The sequence below is a fragment of the Homo sapiens genome, chromosome 13 (genome assembly GCF_000001405.40).
Source record: "Homo sapiens chromosome 13, GRCh38.p14 Primary Assembly".
Lineage (NCBI taxonomy): Eukaryota > Metazoa > Chordata > Mammalia > Primates > Hominidae > Homo > Homo sapiens.
The window spans coordinates 31,134,973-31,162,634 of record NC_000013.11 but is presented as its reverse complement, the minus strand read 5'-3'; the positions used below and the strand labels follow the sequence as shown (position 1 = coordinate 31,162,634).

The window sequence follows — 27,662 nt, the reverse complement described above, 5'->3', positions numbered from 1 at the left end:
CTTTTATTATAAGCGGTTTGAACTGGTGTTCCTTCTCCTAAGTCGTAACGCACCAGTTGTCGGGGTAATCCAGACAATAATAGAAGTGAATACAAAACAAACGAACAAAATGACGCTTATTGCCAGGGAACCCGCGCAAAAGCGCCAGACAAAACCCTACCCAGCCTCTCTCGCGAGTCCCAGAAGACAAAGCCGGGTCCCAGCAAGCACTGCGGCCAGGACTACACATCCCAGCATGCAAGGCGCACACTTCTCCCAGCGGGACTACGATTCCCAACATGCTCTCCGGACAGCTGGCCGGCCTCCCCACCATCCCGGTGTCTGGGGTCTCTGCAAAAATGGGGTCTGTCTCCGCCCGCCCAGCCTCCCTTTAGCGTTAAGGATCGGACACCACCTCCCGGTAGTAAATTGTGACTATTCCGAGTTTTGGAGTCATTCTTCGTTGCCTGTTTTATTAGGGCAGCAAAACGCCTGTGGCTAGGGCGGGAGTGGGCGGAGGCAGGTTTGAGCCAATGGCACGGGAGCGGCCCTGTCGCTGCCATGGCAACGGCGGCCGTTCTCCGGGGACCGGCTGCCCATTGGGTAGAATCTTTCCAGAAGGCTCGAGAAGAAGGAAGCGGAAGTGGCACGTGGAGGGGCCGGTGGAGGCGCCGGTGAGTAAATGCCGCAGATTCTGGAAAGTTCTGATCAGTGCGATACATAAGGCTGAGGAAGTGGGACCTCCCCTTTTGGGTCGGTAGTTCAGCGCCGGCGCCGGTGTGCGAGCCGCGGCAGAGTGAGGCAGGCAACCCGAGGTGCGGAGCGACCTGCGGAGGCTGAGCCCCGCTTTCTCCCAGGGTTTCTTATCAGCCAGCCGCCGCTGTCCCCGGGGGAGTAGGAGGCTCCTGACAGGCCGCGGCTGTCTGTGTGTCCTTCTGAGTGTCAGAGGAACGGCCAGACCCCGCGGGCCGGAGCAGAACGCGGCCAGGGCAGAAAGCGGCGGCAGGAGAAGCAGGCAGGGGGCCGGAGGACGCAGACCGAGACCCGAGGCGGAGGCGGACCGCGAGCCGGCCATGTCGGTGGTGGGGTTGGACGTGGGCTCGCAGAGCTGCTACATCGCGGTAGCCCGGGCCGGGGGCATCGAGACCATCGCCAATGAGTTCAGCGACCGGTGCACCCCGTAAGTGGGAGTCTGCGAGGGTGGATGGGAGGAGGTTCTGGGCCCTTAGTGTGGGGACCCAAGATCGCGGGCTGGCTGTACGGATCACCGCGGCAAACGGAGGCGTTTGGGCAGCGGCGCACCCCTCCGTGGAACTAGGGACCAGCGACCCGGCCAGAGGAGGGATGGGGGGCTTGCCATCACAAATTGGAGAAGGGATTGTCTCAGGGATTCACGGGGGTGAGAGGAGTCCCAGAGTCGAGACTCTAAGGGTCGTCACCTTGTGCGGGCTTCCTATTGGGGGTTTTCAAAACCTACTGGGGGTCGGGCTGCGGCAAAGCCCGCAACTTCGCTCCCTTTTCTTGGCAGGCTGCAGCCTGCGCCTTCCGCGGCCGCCCCCGTATCCCCACCCGGCCTCTCTGAGCTGGCTGAGCCGCCTCCAGCTTGTCCTCCTCCCTTCGCGCATATCTTTGCGCACCGCGGAGCGGGGCTGCCGGCCTTTTTCTTCCGCATTGTGAATCTCGAAATGAACTGGAAGCTTCCAGAGCTTGTGTCGCTGCTTGTCCAGTGAGCAGGCGGATTGTTGTTAGCGACCACGGAAGCAGTCCTATGAAAGATTAGCCCACCTCTTTTTACCCAGTCTCTTCGTTGCTAACATTGTTGGCCTTAATGCCCGGGATCATTGTCGAAAGATGTAAACGTCTTTTTTTTTGCTCTTTGCCATTCATGAGGAATTGTAAACCGTATTTTTAAAATTAATTTTGCACAGTTTATTTAAAAGAGAATAAAAATTGCATACTTTTGTGCTAGGACGCCAAAAGAGGATGGATGTCGTCACTGAACTAAATATTCTATAGGAGCATAGGGTGGGCAAAGGGCAACATTTTAAAAAGCAAGTTTCGTGAAGGGATATTTTCGGACGAGAATATATACAAACATATCTGCATGTGCATTGATGAAAACAAATGATTTCATCTCAAGGAAAATACTGTACCTATTAATTTTTTTCAAATGTCCCAAGCTCAGGATGAAAAGTGCAAAATGAAAACATTGAACCTAAAGGTAGAATGAATGACTGGGGTAATACAATTATTTGGGTGCTGAGAACGTTTATGAAAGTTGAGTGGAAAATCTGAGGCAAAATATTTGGCAATGTTAGTAACGTTAGGAAGACTGTTCTGAGCAACCTGTACGTCTACCCCTGCAGATCTAAGTTTGTGTTTTGGTTAAGGTTTTTTTAATTGGAGTTTAGTAAGAAAGAAAACAGTATTTCAGGCTTTCATGCCTAGATACAGTTTATACTTTGTTCTGGTTGATCCAATAAAACAAAGAAAAGCTTTTCAGAGAAGAGAGTGGGAAAAAAAATTGTGTTATACAGGGACTACTGTGTGAAATCAAAGACAACAGGTATGGCCCTGAAAAATGTGAACTGAGGGCAGTATTGGAGTTCCCCTTAATATGTTTGTTAAACTATAATTGTGGTGGATTCTATTGTATCAGCTACTAATTGTTATTTAGTACAATTAATTTGATTCTCCCCTAGGAAAATGAGTAGATCCATTCTGCAAGTGTATGGTTATTCAGAGCTTACAGTGATGCTCTGATTTTGACGGTTTCTTGTCTAGCTTCTGCTTGGACACTTCTCTGGCTTTTAGGATGCTATTTTATTTAACACTTGCTCAGATAATATAGTTTGAGGATGTTTCTATTATAGCAAATTTAAACTTAAGGGTGGTACTTAATGCCCTCAGTATTTTCCCGTTTTGCTCATCTCGTTTACCATTACTCATACCTAAGCAGGTAGGAGTAACTCACCCAAAATTAGATTATATTTGAATTAGTAATCCAGAATTAGATAACTCCTCTAATCCAAAACCTAATTCACTTACCTTCTTCTCACAAGACTTTTTAAGCTAGTCTCTGCTCTGTTATTGTGCGGTTCCATTTCCATGGTGGCTGAGAAGGTTGTTTCACAGTTGTAAGTCACTTTCCATCTCTTCAAAACAGATTTGATGTAACTGATTAGTCACTCCTTTCCCTCGACATTTATATTCTGTTTTGCCATGGTACTTGTTGTGCATCATTTTTTTCTTTCTCCGGCAGAATCTCCCAGATGGGAACCTCTTTGTGCTCTTTAAACTTCAGAGGTGTAACTTGGGTTCATTTGCTTGCGTTTGCATAAAAACTTTTGATTCCTAAAGAAGCCGGTGGTATATCAGAACAAAAGTCGGTATGACAATGACATTTAGATTTGTACAGAGTTGGTGACTGAAAGGTAGAGTCACATCCTATTTTTTGTTAGTCGTGTGTAGGGTCAAATTAATAATACCGTTAACATATTTAAAACATTTTCAAAGTTAATGTTCGGTTCATAATAACTGGAACCTGGAGAATTCCTGAGCCACGAGCAGAGGTTTTTGGGGTAGTAGAACTGCCACCTAGGTTGGATCTCAGAGCAGCAATTAAGTGGAAGCCCCCTTTGAGTATCTGATGAAAGCTATAGACCTTAAAATTGTGCTATGCTTGTTCCCTATCCCCTAATGGGTAGGACATTTATGTTAGTATTTTTCTCTTATCAGTTTAAAATATCAACCTTTATGCTTTTTAATTTTTTGGAATATATTTTTTTCTAGGTCAGTCATATCATTTGGATCAAAAAATAGAACAATCGGAGTTGCAGCCAAAAATCAGGTATGTTCTTTAAGAGAATTCGGATCACTTTTTAAGGGGGGAGTTTTTAAAAGGAAAATCTCAAGAGACATATAAGAGGGTAAAGTGTGCCTAAGTTTATGTATTTTTGAGTTTTAAAAATGTAATTCAAGTATTCTTTATGAACCTTCAGATGATGACACTCTTTCCTTTCTGTTCCCTTTCCCTTGTTTTATTAAGATCGACTTTAACTTTCTAATCTGCCATCCTTAACTTTTTTTTTTTTTTTTTTTTTTTTTGAGATAGAGTCTCGCTCTGTTACCCAGGCTAGAGTGCAGTGGCGCGATCTCGGCTCACTGCAACCTCCGCCTCCCGGGTTAAAGCGATTCTCCTGCCTCAGCCTCCTGAGTAGGTGGGATTACAGGCGCGTGTCACCACGCCCAGCTAGTTTTTGTATTTTTAGTGGAGATGGGGTTTCACCATGTTGGTCAGACTGATCTCGAACTCCTGAGCTCGTGATCCATCTGTCTCAGCCTCCCAAAGTGCTGGGATTACAGGTGTGAGCCTACGCCTGGCCTGCTGACTTTAACTTTTAGTAACTTTTTGCTGCCTTTCATTTATCTAATTTTTAGAAATTATAAACAAGGCATTTTAAGTTCTTGTGAAGTTTCTCGTGATACTCATTTAAGAGATTCCTTTTATAGAAGGAACTTCTAAGAAATTATGTGTTTAAAAGCATTTTCAGGTTACTTAGTAATTAAGGTAGGACTGGGAGAAATTTTTGTCCAGACCTGTGCTGTTTAAAAAATATGGTAGCCATGTACTGTATTGAGCATTTGAAATGTGGCTCGTCTGAATCAAAATGTGAAGTATAAAATACACATGAGATTTTTTACTTTTTAATCGAATTGAAAAGTAAAGTACGGTATCTGATCAATTTTTTTCTGTTGACTACTTATTGAAGTGATAGTTCCTAAAATATATTGGCCTAAGTTAATTGAAATTAATCTAATCTCTTACCAGTTTTTAACGTGGCTGCTACAAAATTTTATGTAGGTAGCTCTCCTTTATGACTTACATATAATTCTGTTGAACAGCACTGATCTAGACAGACCCCTTGGAGGTGGAGAGAAAAACAGTAAAAGATACGTGAAATGCTCTTTGAGAGGCTCTTTGAAATAAAAAACATTTTTCTAAATACAGAAAATAGATTGCTAAGAAAGAAAATTTTGGATTAGATTGAGTACTGTATTATATATTATGGAATGTATTTAGTACTGACCTATTAAAAAATCAGGTCAGATTTGAAAACAAAAACATCTCTTAAAATGCTTATGTTTAATAAGAAATTGGCACTTTATCAAACTTATGAATCTGCTTTCATTAGAAAATGGTTTCATGTTTTCTAATCCTTTGAATATGTAGGTTGGATTTAACTTTATTTCCTTGTTACATTGGAAGAGAGAGATAACTAAAAGGGGTGAAAAAGGAAAGGAGAAATAGGCACACTCAAAATATGTTCAAAAGGATAGTGGGACTTTAGTTGTAACAATCCTTTAAATGTGCCCATTGAGGATATTGATAGCCTAGACCTAAAATTCTGTTGCATCCTTGTGATTACTTGAGAAGAATCTGTTGAGACTCATATTTGGCCAGTATACTACTAGACATACTTCATCTCAGTTTTAGACACATAAGGAATTTTAAGACCTAAACTTGCTTGAATTCTATATTGTTTGAAAACTAGTACTGCCAAGCTAACTGTATTCTTCCCTTTATTCAAAAAATTAGGTAAGAGAAAAAGTAAATAATATACTGTTTTGGTATTTTTAAGCTAATAATTTCAGAAGTCTTAGTTTTCAATCTTACAGTTATTTCTTGTTTCAAATGAGGTACCCTTGAGTGAAATGTGCTCTGAAGTGGGGCTTTTCAATCTAGAGTTTACCTAAAATATTTGACCAAAACGGTGGATTAAAAAAACACCATCTTTTACAACAGTTTAACAAACGTGCGCCAGTTGTGTAAGATAGCAGTTCAATTTCTTGTTTTTAAAAACCATGGCTCTCAAGTCTTCAGAATACGCACATGCAGTTGAAAACATTAGGTCACTTAGAAACTTGTTGAATTACTCTTCTGCCTTCTACTTTTTGGTGTAGATAACTAGCATTTCATGCTATTGCTAGGAAAGGTAGCGATCCATGCATTTTCTGGCACAGAGTGTTTATCCTGGCCGCTTAGCAATTTATTAGACTATAAAAATTAACTTTAATTTTTTTTTTTTTTGAGAATGAGTTTCACCCTTGTTACCCAAGCTAGAGTGCAATGGCACTATCTTGGCTCACTGCAACTTCTGCCTCCCAGGTTCCAGCGATTCTCCTGCCTCAGCCTCTCAATTAGCTGGGATTACAGGCATGTGCTGCCATGCCCAGCTATAAAAATTAACTTTTTTTTTTGTTTTGAGACGGAATCTCGCTCTGTCGCCCAGGCTGGAGTGCAGTGACACGATCTTGGCTCACTGCAAGCTCCGCCTCCTGGGTTCATGCCATTCTCCTGCCTCAGCCTCCCGAGTAGCTGGGACTGCAGGTGCCCGCAACCACGCCCGGCTAATTTTTTGTATTTTTAGTAGAGACGGGGTTTCACCGTGTTAGCCAGGATGGTCTCCATCTCCTGACCTCGTGATCCACCCGCCTTGGCCTCCCAAAGTGCTGGGATTACAGGCGTGAGCCACCGCGCCTGGCCAAAAATTAACTTTTTTAAACAAAATTATAATTTGGCTATAGTGCTACTAGATCTATTCATTCATTGGGTATAAAACCTCACAAGTTTAGCAGGGAAAAAAAGGAATGAAACAGTGATAAAATTCTAGTGTGTTTGTTCAGAGCTTTAGTGATAGTTTTCACTGTCTTTGAGTTTATCTTGCAGATTTTGAAATCTTTAAAGTCTGTCGTCACACTATTTTGCCTCTTGTTCCCTCTTGCTGCTTACTTTCTGGCATTTTCTATAGGAGAAGGAAAAAGTATAAATAAAATCTGTTCATAGATGGGAAATTCAGTGAAATTGGTGGGCCTCAGGGCAACTTATGTGCACTCATAGGATTGGTTTGAGTTGTAAAGTGAATAAATAAAATTACTAAAATTACTGGTAGGTGGTGAAATTAAAGAAAAAAATTAAAATCTCAAACTTCTTTTTGCAGCAAATCACTCATGCAAACAATACGGTGTCTAACTTCAAAAGATTTCATGGCCGAGCATTCAATGACCCCTTCATTCAAAAGGAGAAGGAAAACTTGAGTTACGATTTGGTTCCATTGAAAAATGGTGGAGTTGGAATAAAGGTAATATAATTGAGCAACCTTAGAAAAATACCAACTTATTAATACTTAAAAATACGAACTTATTTGAGTTATTACTTAAATTTCTTAATTACACCAGGTGGTCTTTTTGTTCTTTTTTTATTCAGCTCCTTTTAAAGTATAGTAGATAGACGCTAAATTGTCTTTGAATATTATTCAAATGGTAATATATATGCTATAACTTAATTTGTGTTTCTTCTGACTTTTTGGCAATTGTAAAATTTAGGTTTATTTGATGTTGGAAAAAAAATCGACATTGTGTTCATGTATCAAACAAAAGTCTGTTCTGAGACAGCCCAGTTGCAGTTGTTTGGAGAGCAATAGTGTAGTAACACCAGGAATCTTTTTTTAAACTTGCAGAGGTATTCCTGTCTTGTGATCAACACACAATAATATTTATCCTAGTGATTCATCTCTTCAGTTAGAGTGGAAATTTACTACCTTCTTTAATGTTTTGACTTAGATTTTGGGTGGGGTATATCTGCCCTAGCTTTCTTCCGCTCCTCTTCATCTTTAGGTAGAAGTTCTTTCTTCCTTTTTCTTTTTTTCTCTTTTCCTTTCTCTCCCCCTTCCCTCCTTCCCCTTCCCTTTTTCCTCCTTTTCTTCCTTCTTCCCAAAACAACTACAACAATAAAATAAAGATTTTGTGGAAGGGAATGTGTGCTAATTTTTGGAAGTTAAATATTGGCATGTAGCTTAAAGTACTACAATGTTTAAAACATTTTTTCCCTTCAATATAGGTAATGTACATGGGTGAAGAACATCTATTTAGTGTGGAGCAGATAACAGCCATGTTGTTGACTAAGCTGAAGGAAACTGCTGAAAACAGCCTCAAGAAACCAGTAACAGATTGTGTTATTTCAGTAAGTATAATTCAGCAAGGCAGTGTGTTTTATTTCATTTTTGCGTTCTTTGTATTACTTTTAAGTATGAAATGTGGGAAAGCTGTTCTTTAGTTACTAGAGACCGTGTTCTACTGGACTGTATTAACATGTGTTCCAGAGCATTACAAAGTAGATTTGAGTGATATTTTTAGCCAGAAGCGGCAAAGGTTCTTGACTGGAAATCAAAATCTCTTGTGAGACTTTTTGAAAATACAGATTTTGACTGGTTCCATTTGTGAGTATTCTAATACAGTTAGTTGCTGCACTATCAGGCTTGTACATTTAACACAGGAGCTTTTCACAGGTGAAAGAATTCTACCCTCCGTTGAGAAACCAGTGTATTAGGAGTTTTAAAACGTAGCTTACCAGTAGTGACAAAACCTAAATTTTTAACACTAGCAAGCCTGTTACCTTCAGTGGACAATTACTAGTTAGACTATCAAAGGGTACTTGAAATGGACAAAAGTCATCTTTTATTTGGACACCAAAAAGGTAAATTCTGCTCACCCAGGTGTCTTGGGTCACTTCTTGATAGGTTGTGGGGTATGCTTTTGGACTTAAATACAGCATGGTCTTTGCTCTATAGTATGAGCAACGTGGCCGGCTGAGATCAGTCAGCAACAAGCCTTTATGAATGAATGAGGCAGAAGAACTAACATTTCTCCTGCTGTCCTTGCAAGATGGGAAGTGTTTTAATCTCTGGCAAAATTAAAGAATTAAGTTATAAGTCAGTGGCTTCTCCCTCCCCACTCTCTCCCTTCCTTTTTTTTTTTTTTGCCACATTTTTTTTCCCCTGGTGAGCTGAGAAACTGATGGACGAAGTGTTCTGATTTGAAAGGTGAGCAGAGATCCACCTTTGCTCTTGCTCATGTCTCTCTCTCAAGCATCTACAAATATTTTGGACAACTTTGAAAAATCACCGTACTAAACTCTCTCTTAGGTACTTTGCACTTAAATGATTCTACGAATGTGTTGTTAGATACTTTTTTTCCTGAATAGTATCCTGAAGTGCTGCACTAGAAGGCAGTCAAAAAAGAATTACAACTAGAATAGCTCAAGTCAGTGCTGTAAGAAACCTCAGCCCTTGGGTTGTTTTTACTCTTAGGAAAATTGAAAGGCTTTGCCAAAAAGTGATTTTGTAATCTTAACAGGTTGACTGAATTAAAGAGCACCTCAGTGAATAGCAGAACTGAAAGGGTGGTGGCATATGTTAGAATTAGCTCTTTAAGTTCCTGTAGTTTTTACCTATAGTTTAATTATGTTGAACATTAAATGTTGACCTAGCATTATAATTTCCTAATGCCAGTAGAAACTTACAACTAGTTTGGAAGCAGATTTGATCTGCTTTAATTTCAAGTTTTCTCTTAGATTTATGTAACTTTGAATATGTCTTATGAAACTCCTGATTAATTTTTATTTCAGCTTGAACTTGGTTATAAGAAAGACTATTTTGATCCTGTAATTTTGGGACAGCCTTTTCAAAAGTAGTTACTGTTTCTGAAGGTTAAGGAGCTTGCAGAAAACTAAAGCCCTATTTCTGTTTTGTGACTTGGCGAGGCACCTACTTAGCTGGACTGTTGTGAATTTATAAGTGGTTTGTGAGGAATTTCTAAGTATATTTTGTGTTCTAGATAATTCAAAATTTTTTGTTTGTTTGTAGGTCCCCTCCTTCTTTACAGATGCTGAGAGGCGATCTGTGTTAGATGCTGCACAGATTGTTGGCCTAAACTGTTTAAGACTTATGAATGACATGACAGCTGGTAAGGAAAAGGCATTTGTGTGGAAGTGAATATACTATCAGAACTAAAGATGTTCTCAGTGCTATTACTTTCTTATAGATACAGAAACACAGCCTGTTAAAAAGTCAAGTCAGATTTGAAAACAAAAGTCTACCTCTTAAAATGCTTATGGTTAATGAGAAATTGGTATTTTATCAAACTTATGAATCTGCTTTCATTAGAGAATTCTTTTCATGTTTTTTAATCCTTTGAAAATGTAGGTTGGATTTAGCTTTGTTTCCTTACATTGCATTTATAGTTAGGAAGCAATTTTTCCCACAATCTTAAAATTCTGGGCTTCAAAACTACCTTGGCTTATAAGTAAATGATTTAGTTTAAAAAATTTTTTTTTATCTACTGAACTGTAGATAGGTGATCATTTATCAAATATTGCTTTAAGCCTGTACTATTTGAATGTGTTAGGCTAGGTATTGTGGATATACAGAGGTGATTACAGCATCTCTTTCTTGAGCTTTTGGTAGTTTATTATGATTACAGATGAACAAAAAATCAGTTAAGGAAAAAAATCAGTTTTTATGCTGAAAAGTTTTACTCATATTTCTGTTAGGTTTTTGGAAAACTGTTAAATATTGGTAAAAATATGTTTTTAGGTATACATGTTTAGAAATACAGTTGTTTAAAGTTCAGAAAAAAACTTTTTAAGGTTGATCAGCTATTTAGCTCAGATCTAAAAATTGGTAGGAACTATAGTTGCTGTAGTTGTATATTAAATTCTTAATTTTTTTGGATAAGCGGTGTCCTAGCAGGTTGTGGTTAAAATGTAAGTATTGCATAATGAGTCTGATACTGTCTGTGATACGTGGTTATGTTTCACTGTATTCACGCCATATGTTTTGTCTAGCACATCTCCATATATTGAAAAGTGATAGAGCATTGTTCTGAAATCAGAAAGAGAGTAATAATTAATTCCAAGAAAATCAGTGTGAAGTCAGGTATAAAAGGAATGTAATGTGTTCACCTTTAATTGTTTCAAGTTAATAGTCAAGCTTCCTGCATGTGTAATTTTATGTAACAGTGAGATTCCTAAGAAAATGTGAACCAAAGAATTGAAACATACTTATTTTTTGTAGTTGCTTTGAATTACGGAATTTATAAGCAGGATCTCCCAAGCCTGGATGAGAAACCTCGGATAGTGGTTTTTGTTGATATGGGACATTCAGCTTTTCAAGTGTCTGCTTGTGCTTTTAACAAGGGAAAATTGAAGGTAAAGTCATACATTGGAACTCAGTGTCCAAAACACGTTAAGTGTTGTGACTTTAAGCTACTGAGCCTCTTTACTAGGCTTTTTCTTCTTGGTAATGAAGAGTTTTATTTTAGGTAAAGATGTTAACAGGAAACGGTTGCTAAGGTTGAGCTCCATAAAGATGATGTAATTGTCTTAGCATACTCTTAAGTGTTCTTGTTTAGGAAAGAAAAGGCTTTTTACAGTTATTTTCTATGTAGTCATTTAAAAGTCAAAAATATCTTAGAGATTTATTCCTGACTGATTTGGATTTCATGTTATAATTTAAATATAGTCTTGAGTCTCTTAGTCTTTCATTGTTTGAGTAGTAATATTTAAGATTCTAGTTACAAATGTGATTGAAAATAACCAGACTATTTGTTGTTTCAACCAAATTAGGTACTGGGAACAGCTTTTGATCCTTTCTTAGGAGGAAAAAACTTCGATGAAAAGTTAGTGGAACATTTTTGTGCAGAATTTAAAACTAAGTACAAGTTGGATGCAAAATCCAAAATACGAGCACTCCTACGTCTGTATCAGGAATGTGAAAAACTGAAAAAGCTAATGAGCTCTAACAGCACAGACCTTCCACTGAATATCGAATGCTTTATGAATGATAAAGATGTTTCCGGAAAGATGAACAGGTGTGTCTTGAATTCTACAGATTAAATAGATGGAACTTCTTTTGAAACTGTAGCCCAGGTGTCAGTTCTAGTGGGTGTTGTGAGTCTTGGCCTACATTTCAGAATTGTGTGTTACATGCCTGTGGCTGGAGATGCTGTTGTTTATCACCACTAGCTCTAGGGGCACTTATGTGAAGAGGGCTTTTAAAAATACCTTTGCTAAGTACTCTCATGGGTCTAAGTACTACCCTCAAGTCTTCGTGGTATTTTCACTTTTTAGTATTTCTGGGCCAGTAATTGAAAACTCGTTTCACAGAGATACTGTGCAGGGACTGGAAATAACCATTGAAAGTAATGGAATCAGATCAAAACATTTAGAAGGGCTGCATGGTGGTACATGCCTATGGTCACAACTTTTCAGGAGGCTGAGGTGGGAGGATCCCTTGAGCCCAGGAATTTGAGGCTCCAGTGAGCTATGATTGTGCCACTGCACTCAGCAAGACTCTGTGTCAGGGGGAAAAATTTTAGAAGGTAAAATGGCAGTCATAAGCATGTAAAATGATTTGTTTGAGTAATACCAGGAGAACTGTCTTCCGCATCATCTTTCTGCACCTGTTTGGTGTATTTATCAAAAACAAAAGAGCTATAAACTACAATACAGCTAAACTTGGCCCATGTGGGATCCAAGGTGTCTGAGGGGGAAAATAATGAAATTCATTGGGTTGTCAAAAGTAGGACAGGATATTGGTCTTAACTTTTCTAAAAACAAGTTTTTATTTGCTAAGGTCACAATTTGAAGAACTCTGTGCTGAACTTCTGCAAAAGATAGAAGTACCCCTTTATTCACTGTTGGAACAAACTCATCTCAAAGTAGAAGATGTGAGTGCAGTTGAGATTGTTGGAGGCGCTACACGAATTCCAGCTGTGAAGGAAAGAATTGCCAAATTCTTTGGAAAAGATATTAGCACAACACTCAATGCAGATGAAGCAGTAGCCAGAGGATGTGCATTACAGGTACTTTCTCAACTCTGCTTTTGCTTGGTGTACAGTCTTTAAACAGTTTCCACTGGATGTCGTCATGGTGGGATAATAAACAGAGACCTGTGTCTAGGTAGCAGAAGGACATTTTAAACAAACCCGTAAAGCTGTAGGGAGATAAGGCTACTCAAATCTAAAAGATCCAGTAAATTTCAATTGAAAGAACTACCAAGCTGGTGTTTCTCAAGCTGGAAATCAAAAACAGGCATGATTCTGAGGATATCACAGAAAACACAGCTGAAACACTAATTAGCTGTGTAGTAGTGGCAGTTGTTACTTAAAAAGCACACAGGGAATTACAGTGGTAATCTGATATAATAAGGAATTGATTTAGGGGAAGTTTTCAGGGTGTTAGAAATATTAACAAATGGTTTTAGAAAATAGATAACCCTCTCTTATCCCCAAATTGATTTTTAATCTGCTTATCAGATAAAAAGGCAGCCCAGAAGCATGAAGTTAGTTTGGTGAAAAACACCAAATCTAGAAGTTATTCGGTTAAAAAAAGAAAATAATTAGTTTATATTTAGGATATTATAGTCAAGATCTAAATATAGTTTTAAATAAAGTTTCAAGTTAACATTTGAGTTTTAAGCTAGTAGCAGTTTTTAAAATATGAAACAGGATTCTGTAAACAAAGGTATTTAGAGTGACTGACTGCCTTTGTATACTTATAAAAGGAAGAATATGTAGATACTAAATATTAATAATAATCCATTGTATTATCCATCCTGTTCTATGGGGTTTTTGTTTTTGCTTTTTTCTTCATAATGGAATATGCCTCCTTAATTAACTGATTCCTTCAAATGATGGAAGTTTATATTTTCTTCAGAAGTAGAGCTAATTTTGGCCTCTCTTTTGAAGGATCCTATAGTAAATGATGAATTGACTTTTTTGGTCTATTTAGCTTAATCATCTATTTAGTTATTTTTATATGTCCTGTCTAAATAGGGAATTGTCCACCTATCTGTTGGGTGTTGCCTTTCCCAAATTTGAATTTACCATTGCTTGCTTCATTTACAAAATTACTTAAAAATATGAACATTATGGCCCTTTGGGGGGTTTCTCAGACATTTGGAAAGCAGTGTAGACAGAACTGTTCATGTATGTATGTATTATACATATTCAAAAGTGATACAATTTGAAATTGCTATCAGCAAGGCATTTCTAGAAAGACCAGGCTTTTTTCCTAATCCCCTGTGAAACCTGTTATTGATTAATTGTCGTTATCCTAAGATATATTATTTGTCTTTGTACCTAGTAATTGGCATAGTATTTAGATGGTAAAATAAATTCTTTGTTTAGATGAAATATACTGGAAACAATTCTGGAATGTGAGTTGTTTTTTTTTTTTTTTTTTGAAAACCCTGTCCATCCATTGGAATTGAGTTTTATATTAAAAGATGACTGGGAAGTGTTCATGTGCTCATGATTTTTTTTTTTTTTTTTAAGTGTGCAATACTTTCCCCGGCATTTAAAGTTAGAGAATTTTCCGTCACAGATGCAGTTCCTTTTCCAATATCTCTGATCTGGAACCATGATTCAGAAGATACTGAAGGGTATGTAGCAGAAAATAACATTCAGATACTATAATGTAAAGAAGAAAAATTAACAAATGACTTCTCTAGTAGAGTCATTAACAAATGACTTCTCTAGTAGTCATTAATTTACCTGGAATCTTTGAACAACCAAATCTACCAAAATATTTCTCTCATTTTGGTATTGTAAATGATGAGATAGAATTGATAAAGATTTTAGAAAGCCTCTTTTCTGTTTGTGTAGCACAGTAAGCATATTTTAAGTTCTTCATCTGCTGAATGCCTTTTTCTTTTCTCTCTAGTGTTCATGAAGTCTTTAGTCGAAACCATGCTGCTCCTTTCTCCAAAGTTCTCACCTTTCTGAGAAGGGGGCCTTTTGAGCTAGAAGCTTTCTATTCTGATCCCCAAGGAGTTCCATATCCAGAAGCAAAAATAGGTAAGGAGTTCATTGTGTATATTTTACTCTTTTAGTTAAAGACTTAGCTTCTCACTCATTGTACAAACTTTAAAAGTTGTCTTATTCTTAGTAATGTTGAGGGGAACATAATTCTGTGTGAAGACATTTTCTGTTTAGAATAATGGTGATGGAGAAATATCTTCATTTTATTGAGGAGTCAGCTGGTCTAGAGATAGAATGACTTGGTAGTTCTGTTACTTGGAGTTCTGCTGTTACTTAAAAGTATGTGTGTGTGTATATATATATGAACACTTTAATATTTTCACTGTTCTGATACAGTCTGTATATAAAGGATTATCCGTGCTTTTAATACTAACTTTTTCTCTAGATTAAGTGTAATTTGCAGTCTGTTACTTCTAATTTAAAACCTGAGTCAGCGACCATTGTGAATCTACTTCTCAAGTGTACCTTTGTGTTATCTTTTCTAAAGATAAGTTTTTTTTGGTACATATTTTGGGGGGACACTTGACACCATCCATCTACTTTTACCCATAGTAACTCTCTTTCCCAGACCATAGGTGAAATTTGCCAATATTGCTAGGTCTTTTCAGGACGTACCCTTGCCTCACACCTTTTCATAAATAAATTGTTTGAAGGAGTCCAACCTGATCAGTTGTGTTTTCTTTCTTACTACTTTAAAGGCTAAAATGTTCTGACCCAGAGTTGTGGTGTATTGTTAAAAACAGTTTTCATGAATTTATTTTTAGGAAAAGAAATCATTGCATGTAGACTTGTAAGATTTTGATAAATTGGAATCTGTGCATTAACTCGTTACTGTGTGGAAGATAAAATCCCAGCTCTTTGGCATGGCATCTAATTTTTCATGTTTGATTGAAACTGAAAACGTCGTACATGCTTGAGCCATCTTACATCCCACTTTCCAGAGTAAATGCTGTTTCTTTAGATAGATGGATCTTTTGGCAAATATTTCCTGAACTACTGATTTGACAATTAATCAAGGTGTATTCCTTCATCTTTCAGTGACATTGTAATTAAATCTATAGTTCTGTGTGTTTATATAGACAGCACTTTAAATACTAGGCAGTTAAATTCCATTTAGAGCTTTGCACATAATAGGTTCAAAATACTTATTTTTGACTCAGTGGTCTCTGGAGTAACAGTACTTACTTGTGGCTATAACTTACACCTAGCACTTGGTTCTGTAGTAAGTGCTCACTGTACTTAATCCTCAGAGGTATAGAAAGGTAACTTTTGTAACAGGTCACACAGCCAGGATTCAAGCCCAGACAGTCTGGATTAAAGTCTACACTTTTAACCATTAGTAATGTTCTGGAACCCCACTGTATTGTACATAATAATTTCAGGCTTTCATACAGATTTTGGCTCACCTCCCTTATTTAAAACAGCTAAATGTTTTGATTATTTAACCAAGAGAATGGTACTCTTTAAAAGGTTATAGGATTAAAATTCAGCATGTGCTTGCTATCATCTTCCTTATGCTTGCAAACAAATTTTCATGTCCAGTTTGTGCTCACCCATCTGGAGAAGTAGGGTAGGAGGAGACAAGGACTGCTTGTTATCAGTATCTTAGATTCAGTGTTTGCCTAGTGTTAAAATAGTTATAAGAGTGCCCTTACCTTTGAAAGTTTTTATGGCATGCTAAGATTAATTTCAAGTGTATATATTTTAAGAGGTCATAGTTATAGTATATATTAGAGGACTTCAATTTGGTAAAGACTAGGTAGAAGATTTTACAATAGCAGTTCTCAAGTGTTATTTTTTTAGCCTTTGTATTTTTCTTATCTGTCTCCTTTACACAGATAGATTTTTATTGATTTATTAAGAGACACGGTCTCACTTTGTCACCAGGCTGAAGTGCAGTGATGTGATCATAGCTCAATGCTACCTTGAACTCTTGGGCTCAAGGAGTCCTCCCGCCTCAGACTCCTGAGTAGCTGGGACTACAGGCGCATGCCACTGTGCTCGGCTAATTTATTATTCATTTTTTTAATTTGTATTTTTTTTGTAGAGACAGATCTCACTATCTTGCCCAGGCTGGTCTCAAACTCTTGGGCTCAAGTGACCCACCACGGCCTCCCAAAGTGCTGGGATTACAGACATGAACCACCCACCTGGCCTCCTCTACAGAGATTTAGACTTAATTCTAAATAAATTGTGATTTTGTGATTTTTGTTGTTGTTGTTCTAGGCCGCTTTGTAGTTCAGAATGTTTCTGCACAGAAAGATGGAGAAAAATCTAGAGTAAAAGTCAAAGTGCGAGTCAACACCCATGGCATTTTCACCATCTCTACGGCATCTATGGTGGAGAAAGTCCCAACTGAGGAGAATGAAATGTCTTCTGAAGCTGACATGGAGTGTCTGAATCAGAGACCACCAGAAAACCCAGACACTGATGTAAGTTTGTGGATAAACCTTTGTGTTTGAATAGAGTTGACTTAGTTCTAAGCTATAGGAGAATTGGGTAGGGAAGGGTTAAAATGAATGTTTTCCTTCATGAATAATTTTGATCAGAATTTTAGGTAATGATAATAGCGCTTGCCGGTTAGTGGTAATACACAGCTTGAAATTTGGTGAATTGTGACTAAATTCTGTGTAACTTAATTTGAAGTAACTAGTATATGACAGAGTAGATGATGTTTTATTGAGTTGGGAGTTTTTTGGTTTTTTGAAGACATAGACCACACATTGAGAAGTCGAATGTTGACTGACGTTTAAGAAACTTAAAAAACAGACTGCTACAAAAACTGTTTGAAATAGCTACCAAATATTAAAGTTTTTTAAATTGTATGGCAAAATTGGCTTTGATATTTTAGAACTTGTTTTTATTTTTACATGGTTTTCTGTATGGTGGGAGGAAGGAAGAGAAGTGTCTGTGTAGCGTATAGTAAGAGTTGTTATTCATCATTAGCATGAGTGCTAGTTCTGTGTGGTCAACAGAAGAATTTTAGGAAGCTAAAGTATTACAATAATTACAGTTTATTTCTAGGGAATAACTAGAAATAGCTTAAGAGGGAGGCAGTGTGGTGTTTTAGTTAAGATGTGAGAAAGTGCGTTATCTAGTGATCACTGTTACCTTTCTAGAACATCTAAGCAACATAAACATTCTGAACCGTAGTTTTATTCTCATCTAGAAAAATTCTAATGTACAGTAATGGGTTAAATGATGAGTGCCATATACTTTCTCAATCTCTTTAGTACCTTTTGGATATCAGGAATGCCTTGTTTCTAAATACTTCAGTGTCTATCTTAGAATCTTGACCTTAGAAGAAAAATATGAGAGAGTTCAGTGTGGACAGAAAGTAGTTAACCTAGAGTATTTCAGCCCTCTTCCAAAGATGGGTAAAGATCAAGCAAGCACTAATATATTAGGGATTGAGGGCTACTAAAAAAGAAAATTAGGAAACTCTAGGGTTCATTCTTCTTTTTCTTTACCAAATTTTTAATTAGGATTGTTAATGTGTAGCATTTATTCTTTACTCTGAGATCTTTTAAGGTATAAATAGCTGGATCACAGAAAGTGGGGACAGAGTGAGTCTTGGCTGTCTATAAGCTGAAGTGATGAATCCCGAAATAACTGATAATTGGCCATTTTATGTAACTGTTTAGTAAATTGAAATGGAGATATGTTGAGATCCATGATGGCTGCTGGTAAAATAGGTTTTGGAAGCTTGTTTCTAGGAAAGAGGCCTGGAGTAATCTATTTCCAGTGCCTTAGAGAATTAATATCTGTACTAACTTAGATGAGCTTCCTAAGGGAGAGTTCTTGATTCTTGATTGTCATCACATCAATTAAATGCTTACTTGTGTTATTTAACGATATTAACTACTGTCATTCAAAGAATTTTTTTACAGGTTTAGAATTTCTACAGAAGTTTTCAAGTACTTTGTTCATTTTGTTTTTATCCAGTACCTTTTCTCCCCACCTGTTAAGATTTCAGAAATTGAGTGTACTTTCTTTGGTGCCCTTTAACTTTAAAAATTTATACAAGTACACCTGCTTTCTACATCCTTTGTGCCTGGGCTTTCATTTCAGAAAAATGTCCAGCAAGACAACAGTGAAGCTGGAACACAGCCCCAGGTACAAACTGATGCTCAACAAACCTCACAGTCTCCCCCTTCACCTGAACTTACCTCAGAAGAAAACAAAATCCCAGATGCTGACAAAGTGAGTGACTCTTCTAGTTCATTCCATTAGACAATGTTGCAAAGTGTAATCATTAATGATATCATTAAATTGCAGTTTCAAGAGCAAGCACCAATTGATTTCGTTCTGTGTAGGATTTTTTTCTGTTGATTTTCTATGTATTTTTCAACTAAAACCAGTTAGAGGTATTCAAGCTCAATTAAGGGAATTGAATGTCCTGCTTTAAACTTTTAAAAGCTTCTCTTGATTAACTGCCACTCGAAGTAACAAGAGACTAATGTATACTGTTCGTTGTCTTTCAAAGAGCAGAGGTATCTTCTAATACCAAAGGCAGAACTTGATATTTACCAGGGCTACATGATTAGTTTTCACTTGAACTAATCAGATGATAAATATATGGGCTATAGGAGTCTAGTAAACTTTCTCCTCTCAAGCCATCGGTCAAATTTAAGTAAATTAATTATGGTGATCTGGTAATAACCAGATTGCACTTCAAGGTAATTATTTTTTTGTCCTGCTTCCACAGTAGGTATTGGAAGCTAACTTAAATAGTGATGTTGTGTGCCTTGGAAAATGACAGTTTGTAATCAAACCTTTAAGATTCATGGTCAGAAGGATATTGAAAAATTTCTGTTGTTAACTATGAATCACCGTATGTTTTGTAGAACTTTATTTTCTGTACAAGTTACATGTAAATAATTAGCCTGCTCTTGGTTGTTTGGTTTCTCTTATATTCTGAGGGTAGAGTTTTTTATCCTCAGGCAAATTACAGAATCTTTCATTGGGTCAGGATAGGTTTCTATACTATGTAAAAGTTTCCAGTTTTTAATTTTTCTGTCCCCTCATTGATCCTGGGGGCTCCCAATGTGAGCTATGGGTCCTGACTCTGATTTCTGAAAGCTGCTCTCTGTTTTCTACTGTTAAGTTGTGTGATGATGGTGGTTATTTGGAAAAATAGATGCTTAGTTTCAACAGCACACTCCTTGACTTGGGATGAGCATACACATCAACTCTTGCCGATAGTCTTAGTACCTGTCTAGAACATGACATTGGGTAGGATCTCATTCATGCTCCTTAGTTGTAGGTAGGACCACTAGTCTCAAACCTTTTGGAGCATGATTACTCACCCCTTTGGAGACGGTTCCTCATCCATTCCATGTTGAAATGCCATTTTGTGATGCTGGTTTTGTCAGTAGTTGGTTTAATTGGGTACTATCAGGTTGTCTTGTCTTCATTTAACTTCCGTACATGTGCTGTTATCCATTTGTTTCCCAACATCTGTTGCTCTCCAGTGTCTTCCTAGGTGTATGTTTGATTGGATTCATTTTTCTTTCCTGTGGCTCATGCCCTCAGAGCATGCATAATGTATTGAAGGATTGTGTGCACTAGCAGGAAAATGATGTGGGGAGGACTGTAGGCTGACTGCCTAGCTCATCCGTAGTGATACAGCTTATGGCACTTGATAGGTGATTTCTAAGGAACACTGAGATCAGTCTCTGGAACGTGGGATCTAATTCCATCTCTTTAATTTTAGGCAAGTCATTGAACTTTCTAGACCCAGTTTCTTCGATAAAGTGCCTAAGATTTTTAATCCATTGTAACTCCTCAAAATTATCTATGGCTATGATTATTGTGCCTCATGGGCCAGTCTCTTCCCGTTTTACCATCCTACCTACAGGATACATGTTACACACTGTGGTTGTCATCTGATCTGTCATACAACTGAGTCTGCTCAGTTGTGTTCTTTGTCATTTTTGTATTAGTAGGAACCTGCAGAAATGGAAATGCATAGCAAAGGCTTGGAAAATTGAAGGCCACAGGAGATACTTACTTCTTTAGCCCTGTATTTACATATTTTGAAAAACCTACATAAATGATTGGCATGTGTCACATCAGTCCATTTGCTACTTTAAGACTCATCTCTTTTTACCTTGCAAAGTTGCTTATGAGAAATGATACAATTCAAAGGTGGATAGTAATAATGTGTGTGTGTGTGTGTGTGTGTGTGTGTATGTATGTGTATGGAGTATATATATATGTACTCCAAGTTCAATAAGGAAATTTTAAAAGGCACTCATCAGCATAGTGCTAGTTGTAATTAAAGCAGGCATACTGGCATATAGGGCCTTTAATATTACAGGAATTAAGATGATCCTAACGTGTTTTGTACTGGTCGAAGCTTATCCTTAGGTGACAGGTTCTAGAGTCTATAAAGATAATTTAGTAATTTTCACTTTTTGACTCATGGGATTTACAAGAATATTTAAAGGGCTTAGAAAGTAAAGACTTGCGAAGAAAAGCTTTAGCAGGAGAGATTGTTCAATATAGAAGAGAAAAATATCCCAGTGAATTCCTGAAGGAAGGTATGGCATATTTAATAGCAGCCCTGATTTAAAATAGTGGGAATTAGGTGATCCTGTAGATCCTTCCAACTTTATGATTTTTAGAGATTTTATTTTTGCCCAAGTCATCAGTAAGTATGAGGACATTTTTTTTGTGTTTTTCCAAGTGGGTTGTTTAAAATTTTTTCCTTTTTTTATTCCTCTTCCCAAGGCAAATGAAAAAAAAGTTGACCAGCCTCCAGAAGCTAAAAAGCCCAAAATAAAGGTGGTGAATGTTGAGCTGCCTATTGAAGCCAACTTGGTCTGGCAGTTAGGGAAAGACCTTCTTAACATGTATATTGAGACAGAGGTAAGTACTTCAATTAAATATTTTTATTTTGAAATATGTTTAGTTTCTTGGCCCTGATATCTATATTTCTAGTAGATAAATGGCCATAATTCTTTCTCATCCCAAGTTTTATATAGTTTTAGGGATAGGATGAAGACAAAACTAACGAATTTTGCAGTTTAATTTTTTTTAACAAAAAAATCTTTCTGCTTGATATAACATGATTGGCTGAGTTCTTGTGAAAAAATTGGATGGCAATAAATCATAACAGAGCACAGTACAGTTGGAATTTCACGGCACACTAAATATTTCTATTAGAATACATTGTATTTTTTTAGTAGTCTGAAATTCTAGAATAATATGTGAAATAATTGAGATTTGGTTTTTCCATACTGAGGTGGGAACATCGTATTTAGGAGTTTATTTAACAATAAACTGTAGTCCATTTATTTATCTTTGATTTAAAAATGTGGCAGAGTGGTGTGACTGTTATACATTGGCCAGTATTAATCTGAATATGGATAACCATTTGTATACAAGAAAACAAAATTACATTTAAGCAGTAGCTTGATTTTTTTTTTTTTTTTTTAGCATTAAATATGAAGTCTGTGTAATCGGTTACAATGTTAAAAAAATCAAACTTCAGCCTGAGTATTTAGAAAATGGAAATGTCTGTTTGGTTTGTAGGAAGAGTTTGACAAGGTATAAGTTGGAACTGTGTTAACACTAAAATTTGTTTTGTATCATTTTTTTTAAACCCCAGAGTCTACATATTTAGAATTTAGCTTGAGTTAACTAGAAGACTGGAATTAACCTTTCCTGTTTCCTGACAGGGTAAGATGATAATGCAAGATAAATTGGAAAAAGAAAGGAATGATGCTAAAAATGCAGTTGAGGAATATGTGTATGAGTTCAGAGACAAGCTGTGTGGACCATATGAAAAATTTATATGTGAGCAGGTATGTCTTAGAGCTCTGTTTTTGTTCAGATAGTCTCATATGAAGTGTTTAATATCAAAATTGACAGTTGAGGCTTAAGCTTTTACTCAATTATGTAACTTAAACTTTTTAGAAACAGAAAACAAAGTTATGGAGAAAGGCTTGTTGCTGATGAGCAGTTTTATTTTGTACTAGCCTACCCCCAAAACTCTTCATTTTTACCATCTAGAAGAGAGAACCTATCAAATATTTATGTAGAGTCTATGGCATTACTGTCATAGGGTCTAGGATAAATACGAGAAAAATCTTCGCTTTTAAAAACGTCAAATGCGGTGACACTGCTGCCTTGGTAGCGTTCCTGTCATTGTTTCATCTCATAAGATGTGTTCATCCAGTAATTCCAGAGCTTACTAAGCCCCGTTATTCCCCTTATCCCTTTTCTTGACTCCCAGTTAGTATGGCTGTGAGTAAATCCCAGAAGCACAACTGTGAAAGATAGGACTTGGAAAAAAAGAAACTGACTAGATAAAAATCTAGGATTTAGTTACGGGTCATTTAAAGTGAAATTTGGAGTCTGTTTTATTAATAGTTCTAAGGTCTCTGGGCTACCTTGTAATGTAATTCAGTTCTTAGCTCTGTCCTGACATTCTCTGAGTTTCTTATGGTGGGATCTCTAAAGTTGAGATGACCGAACCAGGTAGGACCTCCCAGGGCTACAGTAGAAGTCATACCATACATGAACCGGTTAGGAATGATTTTTTCATGTGTTCAGTGATTGTCAATTTGTATAGCTTCCCCTTCAGCATTTGATAGTTGTGTAAGTCAACAAAAAGTTACTAAGACCTGGTTTTATTTTTTGGAGAGCAGGAAGATACTCTTCTAGAAACCACATTTCATTGTACAGATTGGGCTTCTAAGATAAAATATTTTAAGTCAATGAGAGCCATTTTCAAGGTCTCTGTGTAACAAGGCAGAGAAGCCAAATCAGAGTGCCTTCCTAGATAAGATTAGCTACCTAGTGTGAGAATACCTCTTTGTTTTGTTGTGAAAAATTCTGAAGTACGAGTGCCACTAATATTGTCATATTTTGTGTTAAGGATCATCAAAATTTTTTGAGACTCCTCACAGAAACTGAAGACTGGCTGTATGAAGAAGGAGAGGACCAAGCTAAACAAGCATATGTTGACAAGTTGGAAGAATTAATGGTAGGTCGTTTTCTCCCCCAAAAGGTGGTACTTGTGTTTTAAACTATAGACTTTAAAATAAAATTATGATAACTATTAATTTATTACATTTTATTTTAGAAAATTGGCACTCCAGTTAAAGTTCGGTTTCAGGAAGCTGAAGAACGGCCAAAAATGTTTGAAGAACTAGGACAGAGGCTGCAGCATTATGCCAAGATAGCAGCTGACTTCAGAAATAAGGTGAGTCAGTCTTTTTGTACATAGGGAGGAAGTTAACCTAGATTTTAATAAGCTAACACTTAAGCTGGGAATCATCATGAATAGTCTTAACTTTGAAATTTTGGTATTTGAGGTTAGAGGTAGATTTGAACTTGAGCTTCCTGGAAAGTTGAGTCAAATGAGATACTATTGTTCAATAAATTCTACAGAATGACCGTGTTATTTTTGTTCAGGATGAGAAATACAACCATATTGATGAGTCTGAAATGAAAAAAGTGGAGAAGTCTGTTAATGAAGTGATGGAATGGATGAATAATGTCATGAATGCTCAGGCTAAAAAGAGTCTTGATCAGGATCCAGTTGTACGTGCTCAGGAAATTAAAACAAAAATCAAGGTGAGTGTTACTGTCTCGTGTTTACTGCTGGGTTCACTTACGGACTCAAGTTGCAATCATTTGAACCTTCAACATAGCCATTTTTCCTGTAAATCTTTTACCTCATCCTAACTGAAACCAGCTTTTCTTAGTCTATTATTCTGTCACAAAATACAGAAGACCTCATAAGTTTGTTGAATTTCCACTTCTCCATTTATTCATTCATTTCAACAAGTGTATTTGTTGAGCACCTGTCATGTACCAGTCCTTGTTCTCAGGATTAAACAAGTGTGCAAAGTGTAGTCTCTGCCCTTATGGAACTCATCTTGTAATGGGAGGGAGACCAACAGTAAACAAGCCTGTGTCATCTATCAGAGATGTTAAGTGCTATAGGGAAACAAAGTAAGGAAAAAGGGGTTAGGAAATTCTAGGTCTTGTTGTATGTGAGGCTGGAAGGAAACTGGGAAAAGTGTTCTTCTGGAGTAATGTTCAAACACAGTGAAGGTCAAGGAAAAGTGACCCTTTTAAGCACTGTCAGTTTCAAGCTGTAAACTTGAATTCTAGCTCTTTCCTCACTAGTTTTCCTGATCTTGAAGTTACTTAACCTCTTTGAACCATTGTCTTCCATGAAGTGGAGATTATAATTTCTGTCTTTTAACACTGTTGTGAGGATTGAAGGAATATATGTAAGTACATAGTCCTAACACATCCTGGAAGAATATTAATACTCTATTTTGGTCAGAATGTAAACTGTGGTTTGGGGCAAGTGTAATGAGAAAATGTAATTATTTTATGTGTAATTGGAGTTGGTAGAAAAATAGTGGGTTGAGTATGTGGAGAAGCAGTTGAAAATGAACTGGATGGATCTGAGTTAATCTGATAACTAGTTTTTGTTTTCTTTAGGAATTGAACAACACATGTGAACCCGTTGTAACACAACCGAAACCAAAAATTGAATCACCCAAACTGGAAAGAACTCCAAATGGCCCAAATATTGATAAAAAGGAAGAAGATTTAGAAGACAAAAACAATTTTGGTGCTGAACCTCCACATCAGAATGGTGAATGTTACCCTAATGAGAAAAATTCTGTTAATATGGACTTGGACTAGATAACCTTAAATTGGCCTATTCCTTCAATTAATAAAATATTTTTGCCATAGTATGTGACTCTACATAACATACTGAAACTATTTATATTTTCTTTTTTAAGGATATTTAGAAATTTTGTGTATTATATGGAAAAAGAAAAAAAGCTTAAGTCTGTAGTCTTTATGATCCTAAAAGGGAAAATTGCCTTGGTAACTTTCAGATTCCTGTGGAATTGTGAATTCATACTAAGCTTTCTGTGCAGTCTCACCATTTGCATCACTGAGGATGAAACTGACTTTTGTCTTTTGGAGAAAAAAAACTGTACTGCTTGTTCAAGAGGGCTGTGATTAAAATCTTTAAGCATTTGTTCCTGCCAAGGTAGTTTTCTTGCATTTTGCTCTCCATTCAGCATGTGTGTGGGTGTGGATGTTTATAAACAAGACTAAGTCTGACTTCATAAGGGCTTTCTAAAACCATTTCTGTCCAAGAGAAAATGACTTTTTGCTTTGATATTAAAAATTCAATGAGTAAAACAAAAGCTAGTCAAATGTGTTAGCAGCATGCAGAACAAAAACTTTAAACTTTCTCTCTCACTATACAGTATATTGTCATGTGAAAGTGTGGAATGGAAGAAATGTCGATCCTGTTGTAACTGATTGTGAACACTTTTATGAGCTTTAAAATAAAGTTCATCTTATGGTGTCATTTCTAAACTGTTGATTTTGTCACTAATTTAAAAAATGAGATGAGGGAGAATATGAATTATTCTAGCAGAAATGAAGTTAGTGTCCAGTTTTTCTTTTTTACTGCTTATGTTCTCTCTTTTCTAAGTGAAAATGTTTTTCTCCTGACAGAAAAATAGCATATGTTTATTACATTAAAGCATTTTAAAAATACTATAAAGTGAATAAAACTTAAAATCTTGCCACCCAGAAGAAAACATTGTTAACACTTCGTTATACATCCTTGGAGCCTTTTACCCCTAATGATGGGGGTATATTTGTGTGAGTGTCTATGTTATAGTGCTGTAGGCTGTTTTTAAAAACTCTGTGCCAGGGAAATTAGTAAATACAGTCAAGTGTTGTAACTGCATAAATGTAGTGAGTTCATTATAAAGACGTACTTAAAAATACCAATCTTGCTATTGGTAGATTTAGGTGTTTCTCATTTTTGCTGTTCTAAATAATGCTGCAATGAATCTATCTGGTTGTTTTGTAAGCACAAAATTGAAGTAGTGTTGGAGGTAGGGGAGAAGACACATGCACTTAGGATAGGTGACAACCAGCTCCTCACTAGGGTGCAACAGTTTATTCTTTTTTTTTTTTTGGTAGAGCTGGGGTTTCGCTATGTTGCCCAAGTTCGTCTTGAACTCCTGGGCTCAAGCAATCTGTCTGCCTCAGCCTCCCAAAGTGCTGGGATTACATGGTGTGAGCCACCATGCCCAGCCATTTATGATCTTGATGAGGGCCAACTTTCCCTCTTCCACAAGGGATTAATCTTAGAACTATAGCCAATTTATTATAAGTACTATTTAGCTACTCTGTGCTCCACACATCACGGAGTAATATCTTCAAACTATGAGGTTTAGTAACACTTGACTGCTGAGGTTTATTTCCTCAGCTCTGATGCTTCCTGGGTGAAGATGTAAGTTATTAAATTAACTCAAATTTTAAAGCTAACACTTCATTCCATCTAGACCAGGTAGCTCGTCATTTGTACGTCTGATAGGTGCTTCAACATCTCAGAATTGGCTTATTTTTCATGCATTGCATATTGTACTCATTTGTAATATTGGAATGTAAAATGTTCTTACTAAGAATCTTTATGTCAGCTATTCAACATTTCCCTACTTTATAATTTCTAGCTGCTTTACCATTTAGCAACTTTAAATTTTTATGCAGTTAATATGTTTCTTTGGTTTTTATGTTTTCTGAATGTCTTTAATGCACATTAATGTATACTTAGTAGATACACATTTACACATTGAGAAGTGAAGATAGGTTTGTGTTCTGTGTACAATTAGGACATCCATTAAAAAAGATTTTTAAAAACTGTGAATGGGAAAACATGTTTTTCCTCCTGTCCTAAAATAGAACCTGATGACGGGAGGGAGCATCAGTCAGTCTGGCCTAAATCAGTGTACTGCGCTTTTGGATGCGGGCAAAAGTATTGTCATGTTGATTACTTTATAATAACGTATTAATATCATTGGCTCAAACAGTTGTGATATATACCTAGTAATCATCGAGGATCTCAAAGATATGCACCAGTTTGAATAAATGCTGTTTAAAGATTAAATTTTACAATTCATTTTAAATTGTCATTTTGTGACAATATTTCTAAACAACGTCCATTTTTAATAACA

The 27,662-nt window shown here is 36.9% G+C and overlaps 1 protein-coding gene across 12 annotated transcripts, besides 5 other annotated features; it reads left to right on the top strand.

Annotated features, from left to right (window-relative positions):
• Positions 105–374: an enhancer, noted in NCBI's record as "active region_7551". NCBI's record gives its function as "activates an Ori minimal core promoter by ATAC-STARR-seq in GM12878 lymphoblastoid cells {active_cell/tissue: GM12878}" and the evidence as "EXISTENCE:reporter gene assay evidence [ECO:0000049][PMID:35858748]".
• Positions 247–27,662, top strand: HSPH1 (heat shock protein family H (Hsp110) member 1). Of its 12 annotated transcripts, none has more exons than XM_011534887.4 (19): positions 247–653; positions 3,772–3,829; positions 6,981–7,121; positions 7,880–8,002; positions 9,684–9,783; positions 10,893–11,026; positions 11,444–11,688; positions 12,453–12,681; positions 14,155–14,261; positions 14,543–14,676; positions 16,867–17,072; positions 18,712–18,843; positions 21,376–21,513; positions 22,326–22,451; positions 23,528–23,635; positions 23,735–23,854; positions 24,067–24,228; positions 25,111–25,267; positions 25,518–27,662. In XM_011534887.4, the coding sequence occupies exons 1-19, from the start codon at positions 541–543 to the stop codon at positions 25,544–25,546; spliced, it is 2,562 nt and encodes an 853-aa protein (XP_011533189.1). In that variant the 5' UTR covers positions 247–540; the 3' UTR covers positions 25,547–27,662. The 12 variants fall into 12 exon arrangements, with proteins under 12 accessions (XP_011533189.1, XP_016875851.1, NP_001273433.1 ...); NM_001349704.2 differs by lacking the exon at positions 247–653 and adding an exon at positions 731–1,159; XM_017020362.3 differs by lacking the exon at positions 18,712–18,843.
• Positions 546–1,091: an enhancer, noted in NCBI's record as "H3K27ac hESC enhancer chr13:31735681-31736226 (GRCh37/hg19 assembly coordinates)". NCBI's record gives its function as "activates a minimal SCP1, AML or CMV promoter by ChIP-STARR-seq in naive H9 embryonic stem cells {active_cell/tissue: H9 hESC(naive)}" and the evidence as "EXISTENCE:reporter gene assay evidence [ECO:0000049][PMID:30033119]".
• Positions 605–724: an enhancer, noted in NCBI's record as "active region_7550". NCBI's record gives its function as "activates an Ori minimal core promoter by ATAC-STARR-seq in GM12878 lymphoblastoid cells {active_cell/tissue: GM12878}" and the evidence as "EXISTENCE:reporter gene assay evidence [ECO:0000049][PMID:35858748]".
• Positions 855–934: an enhancer, noted in NCBI's record as "active region_7549". NCBI's record gives its function as "activates an Ori minimal core promoter by ATAC-STARR-seq in GM12878 lymphoblastoid cells {active_cell/tissue: GM12878}" and the evidence as "EXISTENCE:reporter gene assay evidence [ECO:0000049][PMID:35858748]".
• Positions 1,092–1,637: an enhancer, noted in NCBI's record as "H3K27ac hESC enhancer chr13:31735135-31735680 (GRCh37/hg19 assembly coordinates)". NCBI's record gives its function as "activates a minimal SCP1, AML or CMV promoter by ChIP-STARR-seq in naive H9 embryonic stem cells {active_cell/tissue: H9 hESC(naive)}" and the evidence as "EXISTENCE:reporter gene assay evidence [ECO:0000049][PMID:30033119]".

Excerpts from the sequence above, each read along its gene's own strand:
- HSPH1 (NM_001286504.1), top strand. The coding sequence starts at position 541 with ATGGCAACGGCGGCCGTTCTCCGGGGACCGGCTGCCCATTGGGTAGAA. Across the intron at positions 11,689-12,452 it reads GTTTCCGGAAAGATGAACAG|GTCACAATTTGAAGAACTCT; the intron begins GTGTGTCTTGAA and ends TTATTTGCTAAG. Across the intron at positions 17,073-18,711 it reads CAGAAAACCCAGACACTGAT|AAAAATGTCCAGCAAGACAA; the intron begins GTAAGTTTGTGG and ends CTTTCATTTCAG.